General features: G+C 47.8%; 1 protein-coding gene across 9 annotated transcripts in view, besides 7 other annotated features; it reads left to right on the top strand.

The window, feature by feature from the left end:
* The window catches only part of POU2F3 (POU class 2 homeobox 3), an 83,308-nt gene that overhangs the window by 54,658 nt on the left and 5,250 nt on the right, over positions 1-23,400 (top strand). For all 9 annotated transcript variants that reach the window (NM_001244682.2, XM_011542739.3, XM_011542742.4 and 6 more), the window contains 7 exons: positions 6,970-7,095; positions 8,329-8,431; positions 10,991-11,073; positions 13,735-13,917; positions 14,349-14,490; positions 16,184-16,320; positions 18,130-18,291. In NM_001244682.2, coding sequence (NP_001231611.1) covers positions 6,970-7,095; positions 8,329-8,431; positions 10,991-11,073; positions 13,735-13,917; positions 14,349-14,490; positions 16,184-16,320; positions 18,130-18,291 — 936 coding nt within the window. The remainder of the gene's footprint in view (positions 1-6,969; positions 7,096-8,328; positions 8,432-10,990; positions 11,074-13,734; positions 13,918-14,348; positions 14,491-16,183; positions 16,321-18,129; positions 18,292-23,400) is intronic.
* Positions 14,401-14,918: an enhancer, noted in NCBI's record as "H3K4me1 hESC enhancer chr11:120176405-120176922 (GRCh37/hg19 assembly coordinates)". NCBI's record gives its function as "activates a minimal SCP1, AML or CMV promoter by ChIP-STARR-seq in primed H9 embryonic stem cells {active_cell/tissue: H9 hESC(primed)}" and the evidence as "EXISTENCE:reporter gene assay evidence [ECO:0000049][PMID:30033119]".
* Positions 15,483-15,985: an enhancer, noted in NCBI's record as "H3K4me1 hESC enhancer chr11:120177487-120177989 (GRCh37/hg19 assembly coordinates)". NCBI's record gives its function as "activates a minimal SCP1, AML or CMV promoter by ChIP-STARR-seq in naive H9 embryonic stem cells {active_cell/tissue: H9 hESC(naive)}" and the evidence as "EXISTENCE:reporter gene assay evidence [ECO:0000049][PMID:30033119]".
* Positions 16,258-16,427: an enhancer, noted in NCBI's record as "experimental_19560 CRE fragment used in MPRA reporter constructs". NCBI's record gives its function as "activates a minimal promoter by MPRAs in K562 erythroleukemia cells, with activity observed for both the introgressed and non-introgressed 11:120178347 variant alleles {active_cell/tissue: K562}" and the evidence as "EXISTENCE:reporter gene assay evidence [ECO:0000049][PMID:34662402]".
* Positions 16,258-16,494: a biological region, named in NCBI's record as "Neanderthal introgressed variant-containing enhancers experimental_19560 and experimental_19565".
* Positions 16,325-16,494: an enhancer, noted in NCBI's record as "experimental_19565 CRE fragment used in MPRA reporter constructs". NCBI's record gives its function as "activates a minimal promoter by MPRAs in K562 erythroleukemia cells, with activity observed for both the introgressed and non-introgressed 11:120178414 variant alleles {active_cell/tissue: K562}" and the evidence as "EXISTENCE:reporter gene assay evidence [ECO:0000049][PMID:34662402]".
* Positions 22,516-22,660: an enhancer, noted in NCBI's record as "145 bp 11:120184592 sequence used in MPRA reporter constructs". NCBI's record gives its function as "activates a minimal TATA-containing promoter with rs4938795 allelic activity by MPRAs in UACC903 melanoma cells {active_cell/tissue: UACC903}" and the evidence as "EXISTENCE:reporter gene assay evidence [ECO:0000049][PMID:36423637]".
* Position 22,588: a transcriptional cis regulatory region, noted in NCBI's record as "rs4938795 or 11:120184592 MPRA-significant variant associated with a GWAS melanoma risk locus at 11q23.3". NCBI's record gives its function as "allelic transcriptional activity by MPRAs in UACC903 melanoma cells {active_cell/tissue: UACC903}" and the evidence as "EXISTENCE:reporter gene assay evidence [ECO:0000049][PMID:36423637]".

A 23,400-nucleotide genomic window follows, 5' to 3' on the forward strand; every position in this document is an offset into this window, starting at 1 on the left:
GTAGAATGAACTGGACACTGGATAGGGAGTTAGCAGATCCGTGCTAATCAGCCCTGGCTTGGTCTTTAGGACTAACTTGACTGTAGCTCTAGCTGTGTTTCCCTGAGCAAGTTATTTTCCTTCTCTGGCTTCAGAAGTCATACTGTAAAATGAACCAGGTGATGTCTATATTTCCTTCCAGTTCTGATGGCGAAGGAAGGCAATCAACACATTTTGGAATATCTGTCATACACCTAGTGCAACCTACACCAAACAACTTTGAAGAGTCTATAATTCTATAATTCCATCACACACACAGAGAGTGAGGATTGTACAGAAATATGGAGTCAGACCAACTTAGACTGAAATCTCAGCTTCATTATTTACCAGCAGTGTGGCTTTATGCAAATTTCTTAATGTCTTTAAGCCTCAGTCTTTTCATCTATAAAATGGGTCTTGTAACATAGCAAGCATACTTACATGCTTATAAGTCTACTCCTACTCTCTCTTTATACATTATAAATTTCTTTTCTTTTTTCTTTTTTTTTTTTTGAGATGGAGTCTAGCTCTGTCGCCCAGGCTGGAGTGCAGTGGCGCAATCTTGGCTTACTGCAAGCTCCACCTCCCGGGTTCACACCATTCTTCTGCCTCAGCCCCCTGAGTAGCTGGGACTACAGGCACCCGCCACCACACCTGGCTAATGTATTGTATTTTTAGTAGAGATGGGGTTTCACCATGTTAGCCAGGATGGTCTTGATCTCCTGACCTCGTGATCCACCAACCTCAGCCTCCCAAAGTGCTGGGATTACATGTGTGAGCCACTGTGCCCAGCCTGAATTTCTTAAGTAGATTTCATCTGGTCTATTTCTCTTCTTTTTGGAGGAATAATCTAGGACTACAGAGATGAGTGAAGTAATGTAATATTAGGTCATGCAACTAGTTGGAGGCAAGGATGGGTCCTGAAGTCAGGATCCTGATTGATTCTGAGCCTTGTGCTTATTTGCTGGATGTCTTTTTTATCATCCCCATTGGGGACAGCAAAGTCCTTCCCTGATAAGCAGCCCAGGGATATGTTAAAAAACAAAAAAAACAAAAACAAAAACAAAAAAAAAGTGTGATGATGAACTGCATTTCTACACTAGATGCTTCCCAAGAACAGCCACTGGGCTTGGAAACAGTTCTCAGAGTTTGATGCTTAGCATTTCTTCCCGCCTCCCACACCCTCTCCTTCTGCCATTTCACTTATTTAGGGGCAGAACAGCCTTCTGTGGGGGGCAAATCAAAAGTTCTGTGTCGTACTTTTCCCTAGTCAAAGAACCAGAGAGGGTAGCTCTGTCCTCTTTTCTACCAGGTAGGCCACCAAAAGAACGAGCAGATGCTGGCTCAGAGGGGATGAGGTTCACAAAAGAGAACTCCCATCAGTGCAGCTGCCCACTGGGGAGGATGCTGCAGGTGTCTCAGGAGGGCTCCGCAGCAGTGCTTTGGTTAAAATGATTCAAGTCCTGGGCACCATGAAGCATTAGTGAGGGTGGGTCTGCCATGAGGGCACAGCGCCCTCCCAACATTTTTAGAACTGAATTCAGGGGATTTATATTCCAGAGGGAGAAGAAAACTTTTATGGGCTTAAAATGAAGGGGTTTTTCATGCATGTGTCAGCACTAGCAATGCTATGTCCTAAGAACTGAAGCCAAAGCATTAAATAACATGACTGATAAGATTGTTGCATTTCCAGAGTAGGCACAAGCAGGAAAAATAAGGATGGCTTTTTGGAAAGCGTCTTTTCAGCAGTAGCAACCCCACATGGTCCCAGCCTCCTAGGAGCCATATGTCTCCTCTCTTCCATCCCTCCTTTTGTAGAAGTTTGATGCTCTCAGGGTGATAATCCTAGTTTGTGTGGCCAAAGGCACACCTAGGCTGCTATATAGTAGGTTTGATTAGAGTCCAGGGGCTGGATGAGGTCATCTCCCCAAGCACTTCCTAGAGGCATCTGAGGAGGCAGGAGCCTTGGACTCCTAAGGAACAGCTAAGAGCCATGGAGATGGGAGAATCCCCCAAGCAAAAATGCAGCCGGTATCTCTTGGGGTACTTTCAGCCCTGTTCACTTGAGAGGAGTTACCCATCTGCCCCATTCCACCACTTAGAATATATTTTTAAAATGTTTTCATTTGCCAATCCTTTATATATCAGTTACAAAACAGAAACTCTTCCTCACTGCTAGGGAGAAGTGTAGAAAGGGGGAGAAAGAAAAAAAAATCTTGCCTGAAATTGAAGGCAGGTTGGGAGATGTTCACGCTTTGAAACGCTCCTTCTTGTGAAATGTTTATGAAACACTTTCCACAAACGAGTTATGCAACTGGGACAACAGCTTTGATCATTTTCATCACCAGTGATATATTCATTAGTGTTGAGCTGTCTTCCCCCAGAGAGGGCCCTGTGAAAATGTCATGGGGAGGGGGTTAAAGATGAGTACCCCAGCCTCACCATGCCCCATTCCATGAACCCAAAACAGATGGTCAGTAAGGAAGTCTCAGTGTACGTCTGGGCCAGAAGACCACCTTTTCCGTCACCGATGGTCTATTCTCTCTCCTACCCTTGGGATGTGTGTAATATTTTTTGGTAGATAAAGCACCAGAGGAGGGTCAGGAGACCACTCTCTTGTCAGAGTTCTGCCGGGGTATTGCTATATGAGTTTATAACCATCTCTGAAGCTCTCTGAGCCTCTGTGAGATGGAAGGGTGAACACTTGTCCTCACACCTCCTGGCTATGAGGGTAAAGCCAAGGAGGGATGCAGAAAGGGCTTCCACCTCCTTGGAAGGGGCTCTCTCCTTCCAGAATGAGGCTACTGCTTTCTGAAGTAAGTGATGTCAGAGAGTTCACTGGGATCAGAAAAGATAATCATCCCTGATACATTTTTACCTTCCTGGTCACTGCCCAAGACTCAGTGTAATACCTTTGCACAGCACAGTGGGTGGAGAAGATCCTAAACCAACAAAGCTTGTCCAATAGCTGGACAGGCTGCTCAGTGGCTGTGGCAGGGCAGAGCACCCTGTGGTGACCCACGTCTCCAGGGATGCGTCCGTCCCAAGTAAAGTCTGGAGAAACACTCCACCTGCATGAGAAGAACTGCCAAAGAGACCCTGGAGATGATCTTCTTGATTCCAGGCAGGCTGTGGGTTTGGTTGGGTTTTCACAAGCACGGGGGAGATTGGGTTTTCGTCCAATTTGCCTCCGGTTCTCACATTAGAAGTCAATGGGATCCAACAGAAGTCTCTCTATCTCATCTTCCAGATCCACAACCAACACCCAGTTGCCTGGAAAGCTTCCAACCTTTTCCCCTTAACAGCTGTAAAAAGGGATTTTTGTAAATTCAGGAAGGCTTTATTTCTTAATTTCTTCATTTCTGAACCCCTGAGAGTGTCAAAGATGTCTGTCAGAGGCCATGGGAATTGTCGATGTACCCTTCCTCCTTCCTGTTGAACTCAGCTAATAGAGACCGCTGATCAAAGCTGAGATTTGAGAACTTGTCCTCAAGAAAGCAGTGTCCTTTATTATCTTTCAATTTGATTGGTTAGGATTGTCTTCTTTTGGGGTTACTATCAGCACTTCACACCCAGAAGGTAATGAATTATGAAAAATAAAAGATTCCATATCCAAAGGAACCGTAAAGAAGATAAAAATAAATAAATAAAAATTATAAAAGAGTAAAAAGTCGGTCAAACGAATCATAAAAATAATGCAGAGGGTTGTCAGAAAGCCCCCAAACTTACACCCAAAGGGCTTTTCTGCTATCACGCACTTCATTTTTACAACTGGGAGGTTGGGAGTGCCCCCCAAAGAGTCTGAAGGGCAATTGATCCAGGAAGCAGATGAAAGGGTGCGTTTTCTTTTATGATGGCGCTGGTTTCTGAAATTAAGTGTTGCAGGAAGACCTGGCACAGATTCTAACAGATAGCGCCCAGGTTGGAGGCAAAGCACATGTTTTCAAGCTCTGTCATAGCTGCCTCTCCTTATCTCTCCCTTGTGCATAATGAGTCTACAGAGGAACCCTGCCACTTGCCTCCAAGATGGAAGTGGGCCAAGCTGCCAGAGGCTGTTCTACCAGCATGATTTTACCTCCAGTGCTCCACGTTCTCCCTCTGTCCCCCTTCCTCCATCCTGCCTCCCCAGTACCCTCTGGGATGGCAGATGCCTGGGGGCAGGAGGAGGTTATGCAGGGAAGAGGTGGGGACCACAAAGACTTGGCTTAAGTAAAATCCCCTCTCAGATCAAACCTTAAAGTTGTAGTGGTGGTGGTCATTTTGAAATAAGTAGTTTATCATCTATTTCTAGTTTTTAAAAACTTGCTAACACATGTTTTCCTGGAATCTAAGGATATGGAAACTCTAATTTTGGGGAGAAGAACTAGGACACCAGAGTTTCTTAGAGATGCCAAGTGTGGATGGGCACAGCTGAAGGGGCATGGAGCAAAGAAGTGGGGCTCTTGGAGACAACTCCCAGGCAGCCATGTTTTTTGAGTTTTCTGAATGTCTGACTCTCTACCCCCACAGTGCTATTTCCCATCTCTCCCGCTTCCTTCTCTTTGCTTCCAGAGTTCCATAATAGTCTCCTTAAGTGAGAGGAATGATTTCCAAAGACTGTCCCTGAAACAGCCATCTTCTTACCAATTTCTGTGCAACCAGGGCTTCTTGGTGTTATTTAGATCTGCTTTGTCTAAGAACACAGCAGCAACCTGGATGGGCCACGTCTACCAAATGCACTAGGGAATTGGAATTTGTAATTCCATTTGTCGACAGGGAGAAAAATCATGGACTATCATACAATAGACGGGGAAATTGAGTCCCATAGAGGCTGAGTCCCATAGAGGCTCAAGATTACGTAGTAAATTAGAGTCGGAGTTAGGGCTAGAAACAAGATCAGCATTCAATGCACATCTTCAACATTTTCTTCCCTGTACCTCATTGGAGGCTGTGGAGAAATGGGTTTTGCTTATGTCTTTTGTTCAATTAATGTTCTTTGGGTTTTCACTATGTGAAAGGCACCATATTTAGGACATTAGCTCCCTCCTCAGTCTCAAATGTTAGTAGGATCTTCCTAATTGTCCAACCAAAGATAATTCTTTTTTCATTTTATCTAACTTTTATTTTAAGTTCAGGGGTACATGTCCAGGTTTGTTATACAGGTAAACTTGTATCATGGGAGTTGGTTGTACAGATTATTTCATCACCCACATATTAAACTGAGTACCCATTAGTTATTTTTCCTGATCCTCTCCCTCCTCTCACCTTCTACCCTCCAACAGGCCCCAGTGCGTGTTGTTCCCCTCTATGTATTCTCATGATTTAGCTCACACTTATAAGTGAGAACATGTGGTATCTGGTTTTCTGTTCCTGCATTAGTTTGCTAAGGACAATGGCCTCCATCTTCATCCATGTTCCCATACAGGACATTATCTCATTCCTTTTTATGGCTGCATAGTATTCCATGGTGTATATATACCGCATTTTCTTTATCCAGTCTATCATTGACTGGCATTTAGGTTGATTCCATGTCTTTGCTATGAATAGTGTTGCGATGAACATAACCCGTGCATATGTCTTTATAATAGAGCTGTTTATAAGGAATTCTTTCTTTAGTGATCCAAAGCACCATTTTTTTCCGCAAGAATTAAGCACAAGTTTAGCTGTTAGTCTGAACTTTTAACTTAGGTTAAACTAACACAAACAGAAGATATCCCAGGATGTCAGTGATATTCGCAGTGTAGACCAAGAAAATGGTTTAAGCCAGCATCTCTATGGCTAAGAGTTTCTATCTGGATAGGGAACAACCAGATGTCCACATAGGAGGGTCTCCCCAATATCTCTTATAAGTATGGTCTAGAGCTCGTGCCCCCATCACATTATATGAATTTAAAGTCACATGGACACCCTCCCAAGGGACTTCCTGAAAAGCTGCAAGAGGGTAGTTTTCCTGGGATGGGATGAGGGGTAGGCACAAGCAGCACTTCCTGCCCTGCCCTGGGACACCTGGGAAGCCCACGCATGGGTGGTTAGTACTGTCATTGCAGGGTGGTGGAGACTGGAGAGAGGTTGGAAACCACCACGGGCCCCTCAGGCTGTAACTACAGCATTGGCTGTGAGGGAGACATGCCTTCACCTGTAGGGAGACAGGCAAAGACTGTCACTAAAGCCACACAGGTGAAGAGGGCCAGCTGCAGAGGCAGACACAGAGGATGGAGAGGTGTGGAGACAAATGAGATGGGGAGGGAGACTCCTCCAGATCAGTGGTGCCCAGATTTTGGGGTTTCATAGATGAGATTCCATTGAGGAAAATAAAACACAGAATTTGAGGGAGATCAGTAAAGAGTTGCCAGTTTTTTACTCTGTGAGGTAAAGAGTTTTAAGAATGCCATTTAGGATCACTATCCTGTCCTAAATAAATTTTAACCTTCTTCCTCCTAAGAAAAAAAAGAATATCATCTCAGAATTTCTAAGAATTTAATCCATTTTTTTTTAAGAGACAGGGTCTCACTGTGTCACCTAGGCTGGAGTGCAGTGGCGTGATCATAGCTCACTGCAGCCTCAAACTCCTGGGCTCAAATGATCCTCCTATCTCAGCCTCCCAAGTAGCTGGGACTATAGGCATGTAACACCATGCCTGGCTATTTTTTTTTTTTTTTTTTTGGTTTAGAGACGAAGTCTTGTTATGCTGCCCTGGCTGGTCTCAAATTCCTACATCGAGCCCTACTTTTGAAACTCACTACACTATCGTTTTTGTCATTTCAGGGTCACTCACACAGGCCTCTGCCCAGCTGCCCTGGCTGGAAGGGCACACACAGGCAGGAAAAGTAAGCTGCAGCCCAGTAGGCCCTGGGCTAGCTCTCTCCTCTCTAGGCTGGTCACTCCTTTCCTGCCTGGATCTTCCTGCCATTTCCATCTCTGACTGCCTGACGGGATCCAGCACTGACGCTCTCCTCTTGCTTCCACTTGCAGATTAAAACCGAAGATCTCAGTGACTCCCTGCAGCAGACCCTCTCCCATCGGCCATGCCACCTGAGTCAAGGACCTGCCATGATGTCCGGAAACCAAATGTCTGGGCTAAATGCCAGCCCATGTCAGGTAACACTGTGATTTTCACAGTGGGCCAGTGTGTTTAACCCAATCCCTCTGTGAAATGCTCGACTTCCATGCTTGGTACTCGTCTAAAGAACCCCCTGCAGGCAATGTGGGAAAGAGATCTGGAGGCTGTGAGTAGGGTTCTAAAACAGTCCTCTTACAGGTGAAGCCTAGCTAGGGAGGTGAAGAGGGAGGCCTCTACTTCTCAGAGACAAAAAGGACCCAGGCTTGCCAAAGCCAAGGACCTAACAGCTGAGCTGCTGGTGTCTGCCAGCCACATTCAGGGGAATCCTAGGTTGACAGCTGCTGCTGCAGTTAGAGAATGTTTCTGTCCCCATTGGGCCCACTCTGCCTCCCCTAAGGTTTTTTGTTAGAGCCAAACTAGAATGGAGTGCTGGTGGGGGAAGAAAGAGGCGTCTGAGATAGTAACAGCCAAGGTCCGGGAGGGCGTTCACATGACGAGACCTCTTCTCAGCAGGGATCACCTGGGGGAGAAAGAGCCACCCCTTTCTGGAAACACATAAGAATATGCATCTGTCCCTTCACCTGCCATTTAGCAGGGCTTCTCAGGTCTTCTCTATGTGCACAAACCTAAGCTCAACCTCATGGGGCACAGAGCTCTGGCGTCTCCATTGCAGAGGACTCCCCGATCCCCCAAGCATCGGAATTATTAGTCCTATGTCCTGGGCTGGTAGGAGAAATCCTGGACTTTTTGTTTAACTAAATTGGTTTTATTAAGAATGAATAGTTTGCTCCACCCCCCAACTCCCACCCCAACACCCTCCAGGAAAGATTCTGGCCCAGGAAACAGCCGAGGCATGGCTTTTAGCATAACCAGGTGGCATGAGATTTAAAAAGAATTGGATAGTTGGGGATTGCATGTTATCTCTAGGATAAACTTTGAGAGATGGGTCATACCCAGGCTTTGCCTTCAGGGCATTTTATAGTCTAGTTGGGAGACAGGACTGACACATACAAAAATTAACTCAGGAGGCAAGGGTTAAGTAACAATATGTAGTAAGGACTCCTAGGCTGAGGGCAGAAGCTGTAACAATACCAGTGTTAACGGAGTAGCTACTATTTGCTAGACACTGGGGATACACAGTGGCATAAACCAAGGTCAGCCTGCAAAGTCTCTGAGTCTGGAGACCCCTGGGACGGACGAGTGGCAGGCAGATGGGGCTGATGTCCCCAGCTTGTAAATTCTGTGGTGTATGTGTATCTCTCCGTGTGTAGGACATGGCTTCCCTCCATCCGCTCCAGCAGCTTGTGCTGGTTCCCGGCCACTTACAGTCTGTATCCCAGTTCCTGCTATCTCAGACCCAGCCTGGGCAGCAAGGTAAGAACCCTGGGGGTTTCCACCTAGACCAAGTCCAGTCAAGTGCTGCTGTTGCTGCTGTTTTTTGCTGGGTGAGGGGGCCTAATTGGAGAGCATGCGTCAGTCAGTCACCCATCTGCTATTAAGACCTACTTATCCACCCCAGGGTCTGAGGAAGGGACCCTGGCAATGCTCCTCCAGGCTTAGTCTCCTTCTCTGCTTCCCCTTCCCAGCCTCCTGTTGGGTGGTCTGGTCCACCTCCTCAATTTCGTGGTGAGTGGAGACGGAAGGTGCAGGCGTGGAGCAGAGCTATGCTGTACAAGGGAGGGGAAGCGCCCTGGGAAATGCAGTACAGACAAGTCCCAATTCCTTGGAAATCTCTCCTGGACACAGATTCAGACTTGCTTCCTGGAAGCCTGGCTGTGATTCTATTTGGAGAGAGCAGCAGTGCCACCCACAGGTTGTAGAAAGGGTGTTCAGGTTTTCTTTGGCAGGGAAGTTACTCGCAGAGAACTTCTCCCTGGCCAAGAGCAAATAGATTGAACTATTAATAAATAGCTAACATTTCTTGAGCATGATGTGCCAGGAGCTCTTCTGAGTAATTTTTCTGACATTCCTCAAAATAACCTTGTAAAGTAGGTAGTTCTATTATGCCTCTGGTGACCTACTGGGAAGTTCCAGAACCGTTTAGCTGAGACCCATACTCTTGGTCATCACAGTGTGCTGCCTGTCCCACTCCCATCTCCATCAGCTAGGGTCAAAAGTGATGGAGGGTTGGCCAGGCTCGGTGGCTCACGCCTGTAATCCCAGCACTTTGGGAGGCCGAGGTGGACGGATCACTTGAGGCCAGAAGTTCGAGACCAGCCTGGCCAACATGGTAAAACTCTGTCTCCACTAAAAATACAAAAATTTGCCGGGTGTGGTGGTGCATGCCTGTAATCCCAGCTACTCAGGAGGTTGAGGCAAGAAAATCACCGGAACCTGGGAGGCAGAGGTTGCAGTGAGCCAAGATTGCACCACTGTCCTCCAGCCTGGGCGACAGAGCAAAACTCTGTCTCTGAAAAAAAAAAATAATGGAGGAAGTATAAACTCTCTCCTGTTGCACAAATCCCAAGTAGAGGTTTTGGAAATCCAGAATCCAAACAAAATGCAACTCTGCCTTCCGCCCTTAGCACCTGCACAAATGACAGTCACTATCCTTAGTTTCCAAGGCACCTCAGAATATTATGGTGATGAATGAGACCCTATTTGAATTTTTAAGTGTTTATTTTGGTTAAAAAATAAACATCATACTCCTGGAATGGAAAAGGGAAGGTAACAGTTTAATTTGTTTTCAGAAGACTGGAGAGCGACATGAAAATGGCCCAGGCTTATAACCACCTAGGTCAGTGTATGATGCAGTGGTGGAAAGACACTTCCAAATTTGGAGTCAGAAAAATTTACTGGTTTCTTTAAAAAGTCACTTACTAACTGTGTGTTTTGGGGAAAGTTACCTAACCTCTCTGAGCTTCCATTTCCTCTTCTGAAAAAATGGGATAATAGCAAGGCTCTGCCTCATGAGATTATTGAGAGTCACTTGAAATAATGCATGTGAAAAGGCTGTATCCATTTCAACCGCCATGTCAGAATTGCCATTAGTACCCAAGCCTCTCAACTCCCAGTTCTGGATTCCTTGTAAGAGCTTTCTTGCCTATGTATTTTAATAATGAACAATGAAGCCCTGACTTTTTGAAACTGAAGAGCATAAAGGTCAACATCAGCAGATGCTGTATGTACATTGTGACCCAGAACAGCCTAGGGAAAACAGAGACCCCAAAGTGCTGTTGAGTGACAAGCGATTGGGATGACCAACCCCATTGTCTGCTTTGGTGGTTTGATGGCCCCACTCCTGCTGGGAGAGTGAGCCACCAACCAGGCAGAGTCCCTCATGTACCGTTTTCCTGGGGAGGATGGAGAAGCCGGTATAATACATACTGCCCAAGGGAGTTTCCAGAGGCTCAGCCCTGGACTTTCCCTCCTCTCTCAGCCCTCTCTCCCAAGTATAAAATGTCCTGGTCAGCCACATGCCTCTGGCTAAGGCCCACTGCCCTTTAGAGCCGTATGGTCGTATCTGCTTGGTCTGGCATCCTCGCAGATTTGATTGGGCCTCTGTAGCCATAACCCAGCTACTTCTCCTGCAGGGAAAGCCAAAATCCTCAGCCCTAGCTTGAATTCTCAGCAGCCACCCTGCATCCTTTCCCTTCTTGGTTTTCTTCAGCTCTGGTAATCAGATCCCAGAGTAGATCGTCTTGACCCTCCTTAGCCTCTACGCCTCTCCAGACAGGCGGGCAGGTGGAAGGACTGGTTTGGGGACTGCTGTTTACATGTCTGTTTATCCCTGTATCTGATTTGCCTCCACCTGTATGTGGCAATGCCTGGCAGTGCTAGGAGGGCCTCTCCATGGGACTTGAGGTGGGTGGAGGGACCTGATCAGGTGGCAGGGGGTGGGGACAGTGATCGTGGTGCCAAAGTTGTAGCACATGTGTTTCAAATAGCCTGGATTTTATTTGTCTGTTCCTTTGTCCCTCCCCTTTCACCCAGGTCTGCAGCCAAATCTCCTCCCCTTTCCACAGCAACAAAGCGGTCTCCTCCTCCCACAGACTGGGCCGGGACTGGCATCCCAGGTAAACAACCCCATTCTTCCTGTTTCCTCTAGGAATGTCTCAGCTCTCACTGAGTTTAACTCACTGGTTTCCCCCTACCCCTTTAACAGGGCACTAACCCCTCTGGGGAGAGGGGATAGCAGGGAACTATCCATTGGCACAGGGGAAATCCAAGCTACAGCAAGTGGGGGGACAATTTACCAAGTGTCACTGGTGGGGCCACAGTTAGAATCCAGAGATTCCAGCTCCCAGGCCAGCCTCCTTCATGCTCCAGGCACTGAACTCCAACCCTGCACAGGCCCCAGCATTGCTCCTCTGAGAGCCAGGCTCAGCTCACTTCTCAGGCATACCAAGATGGCCACGAACCCTACCTAGGTGCTCTCAAGCCCCAAGAGGGAGACTAGAATACTACAGACCTGATGTCCCAGACCACAAAGCCAGTGTCTTTCACCTCTGGGCCACTATTCCAGATTGCCTCCTGCAGTGGGCACGTATATAGGCCAGTGGGCTGAGGTCTGGGAGAGGGGTTGTTTGCAGAGCTGCCATGGTTCCACACAGCACCTTTTTTCCAACTAGGAAAAAGGCACCTCTTCTGGCCAGGTGCAGTCTCATGCCAAGGTGGACAGATTGGCGACAGCAGCATGAGCTGTATCTTAGCTGCCATTCCTCCCCTGATCTGGGTGCCCCTGTACAGTTAATAACCTGCACAGCTGCATGAGATGGCTCTGCACAGATGGTTGGGCAGAATGGTTGGGAATGACTGCAGAGATCTCTGTGCTAAGATCCCCATGGCTCACCAAGAGCCCGGCCTTCAGAGAGGGCTGAGGCCACTAAAAGTACCTGGAGGGGAAGCTCGCCATCTAGTGGTTGAAATGGGGACACCAGCATCATAAGCTGCTCTTCCGCCTCCTCCTGGCTGCCCTCTCCAGAATCTCATAGCCATGGGCTTACAGCTGGAAGAGATCTTAGAATCTTCAAGATCAACTCTCATCTCTTATCATATTTTGGCATGGAGAGACTGGTAGCAGAGAGACCACATAGAAGATTATGAAGATCATCCAGGGGAGGGGTCATAAAGGATTGGCTTAGAGTTGTGGCAATAAGAAGAGGGGATGATTGAGGAGATGCTTTGGGAAGTTGAATCAGTGCAGTTTGCCAGTGGATTGGAGATGAAAGGAGGAGGGAGAAGGTCTAGCAGAGAGCCCCATAAGTCTTTGTCAAATGAAAGAACAAATGATTTAATGAAAAGGAAGGTTCAAAGAGGACTGGGGCTTTGTCCTGAGGGTCTGGTCTATGCCACACTCTCCTCACACACCCTCTCCCTGCAAACTAAGACCAAATTCATGATGGTTTCAGACTAAAAGACCCTTCACTGGGGGAAAGACTCCTAAACTTCTCTCTAGAGGTCCTTTTACCTTCTTCATCATAAGGATACCTATCTGAATGGTAAACCCAAATATCCCAGAGGAGAAGAAGTAATGTTTAGTCTACAAAAAGTAAATCAAAAAGGAGAGAAGAGGTGGATTTAGCCCTTTGAGCTAGCTGGCCACAGTGCCTGGACCCCTAGGCCCAGATTCCACTCTATCCTTGTGGAATGATAGATGTCCTTAAGATCGGATTCATTCCTGACCCCAAATAGGCACAGCATGGTTCTAGGTTTAAGGGTACGTTTTCCTATGAAAATAAGCTCAAGAAATAATATTTGGCTGGGCACGGTGGCTCATACTTGTAGTCCCAGCACTTTGGGAGGCCAAAGCAGGTAGATCACTTGAGCCCAGGAGTTTGAGACCAGCTTGGGCAACATGGTGAAGCCCTGTCTCTAAAAAAACAAAAGTTAGCCAGGTGTGGTGGCACACGCCTGTAGCCCCAGCTGTTCAGGAGCCTGAGGCAGGAGAATGACTTAAGCCCAGGAGGTTGACGCTGCAGTGAGCAGTGATTGTGCCACTACACTCTAGCCTGGGTGACAGAGTGAGATCCTGATTCAAAAAAAAAAAGAAGAAGAAGAAGAAAAAGAGAGAAAGAAAGAATATCTCCTAGCAACCCAAATGTGATCAAGGTGCATTTTATAAAGGTACTGATTAAAATACCTTTGATTAAAAACAAAACACTTTCATGAAAGAAAATGGTGGTTTAGAAAGTAAAATGAGGCACAAGAGTTTGACATTTTAGGAAAGTTCTATGAAGGCCATGAGTTATTGGATGTCCCCTGTTATCTTCAGTTAATGCCTGTTCAACACCTCAGTTACCTGCTTTATGGAAAAAAACAAAAAACAAAAAAACAAAGCAAGCAACCTTTTCTTTGTCCAGTTCTGTGATTTGTTTTTGGAATCTTTGTAAACAACCCTGCTAGCTCCTTTTATGGTAGAAAACTGAAAGGAGGAAGTAACCTGCTAAGACTCAAAAAGTGAGTCACAGGCTAAACTCAGGCCACCTCCCTATCCTGCACTCCTGATGTTTCTACCCAGATATTCCAGTTATTTGCTATACATTTATAGAAACTTTAATTTCCACTTCCATGCCACTGGAAAAATATAAGACTCCAATGTACCCAGGGTGTATCCAGGGATCTGTCATCCTCTAAGTGGGCCTATTAGTAAAAAAAAAAAAAAAAAAAAAAAAAAAAATCAGAAAATGTTATTTATTGATCTTCGTGGTGGATCTGCTTGGCGTGTTTCCTATCAGGCATTTGGGCACCCTGGGCTGCCAGGATCCTCTTTAGAACCCCACCTGGAAGCATCCCAGCATCTCCCAGTGCCCAAGCATCTACCCAGCTCTGGAGGGGCCGATGAGCCCAGTGACCTCGAGGAGCTGGAGAAGTTTGCCAAGACCTTCAAGCAGAGGCGCATTAAGCTGGGCTTCACACAGGTTTGGTTTTAGGGGAAAAGATAGAAGAAGTCTAGCCGAGCGGCTGGAGACTGGGCTTCCCAAGTGCAGGTTTCAAGAGCGACCAGAGGCTCGATGTGTTTGGGGTCTCCTCATCATGTCCCTGAGTTCTCTGAGAATAGGGCACAGTTGCCATTGGTAGGGAAACTGAGGACGTTGCTGGTGGAGGAGAATGAGAGGTGGAAAAGGGGCTGGCTCTCCTGAGCACGTGGGCGTGGTCCACTGAGAGTCTAAGGAGAGAAAGAAACCGATTCTTCACCTTAGAGGGAGGAGACTTGGAAAGGAGCCGAGCATGGGTGAGCACTCAAAGATTCAGGCTGGCTGTGTGATCGATGCTAGGACCATGCAGGATGTGGGCAAACAAGAGGAGGAGGCTGCCTCTCATGTTCCTCCCCCTCGGTCCCCACGCTTAGGGAGATGTGGGGCTGGCGATGGGAAAGCTGTATGGCAACGACTTCAGCCAGACCACCATCTCACGATTTGAGGCCCTCAACCTGAGCTTCAAGAACATGTGCAAGCTCAAGCCCCTGCTGGAGAAGTGGCTGAATGATGCAGGTAGGCCTCGCAAACACGGATGCCAGGGGCCCTAGAGGGCTCTGCAGGGAAGGGCCAGTGACTTGTCGTGTTGGGGCTTTTGGGAGTTTGATACCTAACACCCCCTTCTTCTCCTGAGACTGGAGCCGATGGAGAAACAAGACACAGGACACAGGCAAGTGTAGATGAAAGTGTCAGCTCGACTACTGAGAAGCCCTCAGAAGGATGTGGATTTAGGTCTGTGTCCATCAGGATTTGTCCCCATTCCATTCCTACCCCATCCCACCCAGCATAGATCTTAGGACAGCTTGCCAGCAACAAAGTCTGGATCTGCAGAGCAGATACACTTATGCAGATTGCTGTCTGGAATAAGTCTAGTCAGGGATACAGGGCAGTGGGGCCTCTAGGGTCTCACTGGGAGGGGGAGACCACAGGCACGACACAGGGTCTTTCCCTGGGTAGTTCTTGAGGAGGTTTTCAGCAGACAGGGACTTACTGCAACCCATGCTGGTCAGGAAAGCCTGACAGCAGGAATGGGGTTTGCAGGAGGACTCAGTGAGGGGTGGTGGCCGGGAGGCAACCCAGGAGATCAAGCGTGTAAGCCAAGGGACCTCACATTTGGCAGCAGGGACTAGCATACAGGATGGGGCTTCTCAACCTTGGCACTATAGACATCCTGGGCCAGGTCATTCTTGTTACCAGGGACTGGCCTATGCATTGCAGGATGTTTTGAGCATCCCTGGTCCCTACCTACTAGTTGCCAGTAGCATCCACCCCCAGTTGAAACAGCCAAGAATCTCTCCAGACATTGCCAAATGTCCCAGGGGGAGTGGTGGTGATGCAGAGTCCCCCCCGGTTGAGAACTGCCGGCCTAGGCAGAGAGAGGGAGTGAGCCAGTCTCCAGGGCTGGGCTCTATTCAGTCGATTCATATGGATTCGTGGTTACACTGGAGAGGGAGAAAAGGGTGGGGCAGCCAGCCAGGGCTGTTACTCATACGGAAGGGCCTCCACACGCAAGCATGGGAGGGGGCAGGAAGCTCCCCCTACAGGCTGTCCCTTAGACAGCCTTTATGGAAGCACTGAAATGAGCGAAATGATCCGAAGGTCTTCGAATCTCTGGGGAAGGGCCCTGTGACCATTCCTAGTCTCCATCAGATGCCTGAATCCTTCCTCAGGGATATCCCTCCTATGGCCCCTACAGCCTTAGCTCAAACATTTGCACTGGCAGGAAAATGACTCCAACACCAACAGTCTGTCACCAAGTGCCATTGCTTTTGGCTGCAAATCTCATTTCACATTTCACTCAGTATTCACATCCAGGCATATCTGTAAACAGCAGCCTCACGAGCATTACTCACAGGAGCCCTGCCAGTGCCCCCTTACACCCACATGTGTCACCGATGCATGAGCATCCCTCAGCTGTGACCCCAAACACTGGAGACACTGCTGTGGGGGCCACAGAGGGCCATGGAGGGTCACGGAGGGCCACAGAAGGCCATGGAGGACAATGGAGGGCCACGGAGGGCCTTTGCCCTGAGCAATGAAAAGAAATAGGATTCTTGGTCTGTTCTGGGCTCCCTGCTGGGGGAGGGGATTGCTCCTGAAAATGCCACTGCAGAGCCCATCGGGAAGGGTTGTTGGACCTCAGATCCATGAAGGCACCGGCCACTCATCCCCTTCTCTGAGCTTCCTCTGGTCCTTCGTGTCCCTGCAGAGTCCTCTCCGTCAGACCCCTCAGTGAGCACGCCCAGCTCCTACCCCAGCCTCAGTGAAGTATTTGGTAGGAAGAGAAAGAAACGGACCAGCATCGAGACCAACATCCGCCTGACTCTGGAGAAGAGGTTTCAAGATGTGAGCAGCACCTTCGGGTGGGCACGGGTGGGCTACCTCACACAGGTAGGGAGAGCAGACACGGCCCAGGCCCCTTGGCACCAGCCCCTCCGCACCTCACACCTGCTCTGGGACACGATCAGAAAACACATTATCCCACTCCAGGCGCCCAGGTATTGGAGTGCAAAGCTGCCCTCCATCTCAGGTTCCAGGAACCTCCTCCTCCTCCACTGACCCTTCTTGCCCTGACATCTATTTAGGGCCCTTTGTTTTTCTCACTGGGAGATTTAAAGAATGGGCTATAGGGTCCCAGAACACAGTGTATCTCCGTATCCAGTTGAGGTAAAGGGAGCAAAGTCAGGGGATTGTATGTAAGTTCTCTATTTTCTATGCAGTACATTTTGTATTTTTCAAATTATAAATGTAATAAATGCTTATTGTAAACAATTTAAGTGCAGGGAAGTAGAAAGAAAAAAAACGCCCATCGCCAAATGCCATCTGACCTCATTTCCTTCTACTCCTTCTTTTCTATGCACATTTAGATACTTGTGATCGTGTTATACACCTACGTTTTTTGGAACTTGTAGCAAAAGCATGTTTTTGAGCCAGTATGTGGAAGCTGTGAGCCCCGTGTGGGCTGGGGAAGAGAAGAGGGAGAAACAGATGTGGCCTAGCCAGCCTCTAGCCAGGCTCCCTCAGATCCCAGCCTCCAGAGCCGCCATGGGTACCACGCGTCTCCAAAGGCCCCAGGCCTCCAGGACTGCTGCCCCTCCAGCAGATTCCTCGCACATTTAGCTCAAAGATTTGGTGCCCATATCCAGCTAGCAGAATGACAGGAACTGGCTTTTCCTTCTTTTTAGGCTTTCTAGAGTGGCAAGGTTAAGGGAGGGTGTAGGAGTAGGGGAAAGTGGCCGGGGCTAGAGACCAGGTGTGAAGGATCAGAACAAGGGAGTGGCGCCCGTGTAGCATGTATTGCTATGCCACAGTCCTGATGGGTCCACATGTTTTAGCTTTCTCATTTTCTGCTTTGAGACAGGAGGACAGGAAGAAATGACAAGGCAGGCCAGGCATGGTGACTCATGCCTGTAATCCCAGCACTTTGGGAGGCCGAGGCAGGTGGATCACCTGAGGTCAGGAGTTCAAGACCAGCCTGCCCAACATGGTGAAACCCCATCTCTACTTAAAGTACAAAAATTAGCTGGGCGTGGTGATGTATGCCTGTAATCCCGGCTACTCAGGAGGCTGAAGCAGAGAGAATTGCTTGAACCCGGGAGGCGCAGGTTGCAGTGAGCGGAGATCGCGCCACTGCACTCCAGCCTAGGCAACAGAGCGAGACTCCGTCTCAAAAAAAAAAAAAAAAAAAAAAAAAAAAAAAAAAAAAAGAAATGACAAGGGAGAAGGACATCAGGTAATAAGGAAGAACACAGAAGGGAGCAGCAGCTCTGGGGACTCTACCTGCCCCACATAACTCATCCATGGACTTCTCTCCTCTGAACTCATGAATGAAGGAAAGACAGCCTACATCTATGGAGACCCTACTTTGTATCAGGCCCTGTGCTTGACAGTTTACACACATTTTCTCATTTAATTCTCACAATAATCCTATGTGGTGGGCATGATTATTCTCATTTCATAGATGACAAGACAGGCTCAGAAAGGTTAAGAAAGTTTTGTAAGGACACGTAGTAAGTGAAAAAGCCAGTATTTCATCCTAGGTCTGACTCTAAAGCTTTTGATCCATGTATAGTTGTATCCTGTTTCTTTGGGACCTCTGTTCCCTGCCCCTGATTCCCTTCTCTTGGCCATACTCTGTCCTTTCGGTGCCTATAGAACCCAAAACCCAGCTCGGAGGAGATCTCCATGATTGCAGAGCAGTTGTCCATGGAGAAGGAGGTGGTGAGGGTCTGGTTCTGCAACCGACGCCAAAAGGAGAAGCGAATCAACTGCCCTGTGGCCACACCCATCAAACCACCTGTCTACAACTCCCGGCTGGTGAGTGGCCAGGAACCAAGCTGTCTGCCAAGCACTGGAGGGACATGATGCTTGGAGGGGAAGGTGGTGGCTGCAGGGAAGAGGGGAGCATCCAGTAAATAAATAAGCAAAGAGATGCTGTATAGAATATAGTATAAAGAAGGGCGAGGGAATAGAAGGGGATAGCGGGGAGATACTCTTTCAGTAGAGAGGTCAGAGAGGACCTCCCTGAAAAGGGTGTGTGAACAGAGACCTAGAGTTGTCAGGGAATGAAATACATGGATATCTGGGGGAATGAATGTTCTAGGCAGAGGACCTAGCAAGTGAAAAGAGCCAGTATGCTTAAGAAACAGCAAGGCAACCAGTGTGGCTGGGGACAGAACGAGAAAGGGGACCAGAAGTAGGAGAGGAAGTCAGAGAGGAAACAGGAAGCAGAGCGCCCAAGATCTTGGAGGACATTGAAAGGCCCCTGGCTTTCAGTTTGGGTAAAATGAGAAGCCATTGGAGAGCTCTAGCCAGAGAAAGCTGAGCTGGTTGACACAGGCTGCTATGTGGGGAATAATCTGTGTGGAAGCAGGAGACCAGCTAGGAGAATGACAATGGTCAGGCTGTGTGATGGAGGCTTGGCCCAGGGTGGTAGCCATGGAGGTGAGGAGGAGTGGTTGCATTCTGGCTAGACTTTGATGGTGGAGTAGCATGATGTGCTCAGATATGGAATACAAGAAAGGAAGCAAAGATGACTGAAAGGGTTTTGGCCTGAGCAATGCGTTGGAAAGCACTGCCATTTTTTTGAGATGATGAAAACTGCAGGAAGAGCAAGTTTGAGGAAAAAAACTAAGAATTTGGGGCTGGTCATATTAAGTTGAACATACCTACAAGGCATCCAAGAGTGAGTATGAAGGAGTTATATCTGTGACTCTGGAGTTCAAGGGAGAAGCCAGGGCTGGGAACAATTTGAAGTTCTAGGGAGACAATGAAGTTTAGGGGGCAGGAAATACCTTCTCCATGCAGGGAGAAATGGTATCTGGAGGGTGGGTGTGGGAAGGTTCTTCTCTGGGGATGGTGATGGTTGAAGGTTAAGGGAGTTGGGGAGAATGATGTTGCCCTTCAGTCTTTCAGCACTGTAAGATGGGTGAAATGCAGCCTTCTCAGGGTGGGACACAGCTGTTTCCCAAAAACTACACCATTGTTGATTCTTTCACCAACCAGCTACCGACTACCTTCTATATATTGTGCCAAGTGCTGGGGATACAAAGATAAATATTGTTTGTTCCCTGTCCCAGAGGACCTCACTGCCTAGCAGAGGAGCAGGTAAATAAACGAATGGAAAACAGCATGATCATTTCTCCAGGAGAACTTAGGAGCAGCAGCTAACCAGCCTTGGGAGCTGGTGATTAGGACAGGCTTCCCCGAGGAGATAATTAATACCTGAGCTGAGTCTAAAGGACGAAGAGGAATGAGAGGCAAATAAATGTGGGTGGAGCTCTCCCAGGGGAAAGTACAAGGGCTGTGGAATGGGGCAGGGAGAGTGTGGCATGCTCACAGAACTGCAAGTGGTTCCATGAGGAGGAGTGTTGAAAGATGAGGCTGGACAGACCAGCAGGGGCCAGACTGTGCAGGGATTGTACACAATGCTAAGGAACTGAAGGTTTGGGGGAATCACTGAAGGATTTTCATAGGATATTGGCATGATAATTTTCTCTTTTTTGAATGATCACTCTGACTGCAGGACAAAGGATGGCTTGAAAGGCCCAAGATGGGTTGCAGGGAGACCAGTTAGGATGGGACTGCAGGTATCCAGCAGAGAAAGACTGAGGGCAAAGCAACCCCATGAGGTAGGAATGACAGGGTGGGAGGGATTCAAGAAATCCTTAGAAGGTCTTGGTTAATGAATGGAAAGCTGGATGGGGGCAGGGAGAGAGATGAAGAAAAGGGAATCCTCTGCGATGACTCTTGGCATTCAGGCTGGGCTAACTGGGTAGATGGTATTGCCATTTACAGAACAAGAAAAGCAGGAGGAGATGGCTTGGGAGTGGGAAGAAGTGATGATTTCAGTTCTTATGTCATCATGATGTACAGTGAGGCCTGCAGGATACCCATGTGGGAATGTCCTTGGGCACTTGAGATTATGGGTCTGGAGGTGAGACTGGAAGGCTGGGATGGAGACATGGACTAGGGAGTCACAAGTGTGCAGGTGGTGGGTGAAATCCTGGGTGAGGAGGAACTCGCCTATGGAGTTTATGTAGAGGAAGCAAAGAGCAAAGGCCATGCCACCAGCTTTTGCAAGATGGGCAAAGGAAGAGTATCAGGAAAGAAACTGAGAAGGAGGGACCAGAAAAGACAAGAAACTACAACCACGTAGATGTGCGGAGTGTTGGGCAGGAATGAGCCCCATAGGAGTGCCATGGGAACCAAGAGGAAAGACACCCAAATCAGAATGGGTCCCAGGAGGGTGAATATCTAATTTGTTTGGAGAACAGATTAGTAATTAGCAAGAGTAGTGTACAAGGCAGAAGGAACAGCCTGTGAGAAGGCATGGAATTTTTTAAATTTTTTATTTATTTTTATTTTTTTTGAGACAGAGTTTTGCTCTTTTTGCCCAGGCTGGAGTGCAATGGTGCGATCTAGGCTCACTGCAACCTCCACCTCCTGGGTTCAAGTAATTCTCCTGCCTCAGCCTCCTGAGTAGCTGGGATTACAGGCACCCACCATCACACCTGGCTAATTTTGTATGTTTAGTAGAGACGGGGTTTCACCATGTTGGCCAGGCTGGTCTTGAACTCCTGACTTCAGGTGATCTGCCCACCTTGGCTTCCCAAAGTGCTAGGATTACAGGCATGAGCCACCGCACCCAGCCCAAAGGCATGGAATTATAAAACCACATGATGCATTTGGGAAATCACAAGCATTTCAGTCTGGCTGGAGCAAAGGGTTCAGGATTAAAATTAGAGGGGCTGATGAGTGTGGGATCATAATGGGCCATGGATGCTGAAGTACCCTAAACTCTCTAAGGGATCATTGAACATGTTAAGTTGGAGGCAACATGATATTCATTCATTATTTCTTCCTTAAGCATTCACTGAGCACCTGCTATATGTTTGGTACTGGGGCTCCAGTGGTGAACCGCACACGTGACCCCTGCTTACAGTGTAGCAGGAAAACAGATACTAAACAAATGCTATTTGTGATGAAGGCTTCAGAGAAGAGGTACGATATTTGAGGTGCCTAACCTAGTCCAGGGTATCAGGAGCTTCTCTGAGGAATGATGTTTAAACTGACACCAGAAGAATGAATGTCACCATTGCTATTAACAGGGAAAGTGTTTGAGTTGGGGGGTGCAGAGAGGTGTGAGGGCAGGGAAGAATATTCTAGGTAGAGGAAATAGCATGTACAAAGGTTCCAAGGTTGATGGTGGGGTGGGGTAGGAGGAAAGAAGCACAGAAGGCCAGAACGGGCTGCAAACCAGGGAGTGAGGGTGTGAATGAGGAGGCTGGAATGGTAGGCAGGGGCTGGATTATGTTGGGAATCATAGGCCTTGTTAAGAAACTTGGGTCATGTCATAGGAACTTTGGAATCTTTAAAGATTGGGCTTTGTTTAGAGCAGATGGGAAGTAGTAGATTCTCCCTTTGGTTCAGTGCCAACCCAGGACATCAACATGGTGAGAAATGGAGGGGGCCTAGAGGAGCCATGCAGGGGCCCCATTCCCCATCAGCTTTCATTCGACACATATTTACTGAGCACCTGCAACGTTCCAGGCACCGTAGAAAGCACTGGGGGTGCACCAGTGAACCACACAGGCGTTACCCTGCCCTCATGAAGTCTACAGCCTAATGGCTGTGAAGGACATGAAATAAATAGTTACACTAACACTTGTGATGTCATGAAGGAAAAGGAGGGAGAAAATTTTCTGATCCTATCTTTGGGTCTCATTGAGACAGTCCCTTGGGACTAGGACATAGTTTCTTCTGCTTCTGGAATAAAATGATTAGCAGGTAGAAAGGCAAAATGGTGCAGATCAGTGTGGGCAGAATGCTACAATATATCTAGAAAATAAAAAAGGGGAACCACGTATATGTCTGTTCGCATATGCCTAGCCTGTCTCCAGAAGGAAACAAGCTGGCCGCACTGACCAAATACATTATCACTTATTTAAAAACAACAACAAAGCCAGGCATGGTGGCTCACGCCTGTAATCCCAGCAATTTGGGAGGCCAAGATGGGTGGATCACCTGAGGTTAGGAGTTCGAGACCAGCCTGGCCGACGTGGCAAAACCCTGTCTCTACTAAAAATACAAAAATTAGCTGGGCATGGTGGCAGGTGCCTGTAATCCCAGCTACTCGGGAGATTGAGACAAAAGAATCGCTTGAACCCAGGAGGCAGAGGTTGCAGTGAACCGTGATCGTGCCATTGCACTCCAGCCTGGGTGACAGAGCGAGACTCCATCTCAAACCAACAACAACAACAACAACAACACATGTCTTGGGTGTGACAGCAGGGAGGGAGGAGAAGAGGTAGGGAGATTATTGATAACATCTCTTACCACTCTGCCACCCCTCCCAACCTGTGCCCGTCTCCACCCTTCACAGGCCCCCAGCCTACTGAGGAGGCTCATTGTATAAGGAAAAGTAAATGAAAACAGGAAAACCATTTCTGATTAATGACGAAATAAGTACATGCTGCATCCTGTTAGGGTGGGATCTTCCAAACTGGGGAGAGCAGAACTACCTTTCAATAGCCTTTGCGAACACCTGGTCAGAGCTTCCCCTGTTAGCATGAGAAGAATAAGGGGCAGTGAAAATACACAGATTTTAGCTCAAAAGAAGAGTCGAATAACATCTAGAAATATACAGCAGTTGACAGCTGCTTCTTCCAGAAAGGGAGAGAACTAGCATTTAACAAGCTGACACTCTTTGCCAGCTGTTGGGTTGGAAGCTTTACAGACATTATCTCATTATGACTTAATTAAAATATATAATGGAAGTATTGCTGCTATTTTACAGATGAGAAAACCAAATCTCAGTAGGGTTAGATAACTTGCCCAAAGTCACACAGATAGTGGTGGAGCTGTCTTACTCCCAGACCTGTTGGGCTCCAAAGTCTATTCTTTCTATTACATCTTGTTCTACAT

Source organism: Homo sapiens, chromosome 11 (genome assembly GCF_000001405.40).
Source record: "Homo sapiens chromosome 11, GRCh38.p14 Primary Assembly".
NCBI classification, from domain to species: domain Eukaryota; kingdom Metazoa; phylum Chordata; class Mammalia; order Primates; family Hominidae; genus Homo; species Homo sapiens.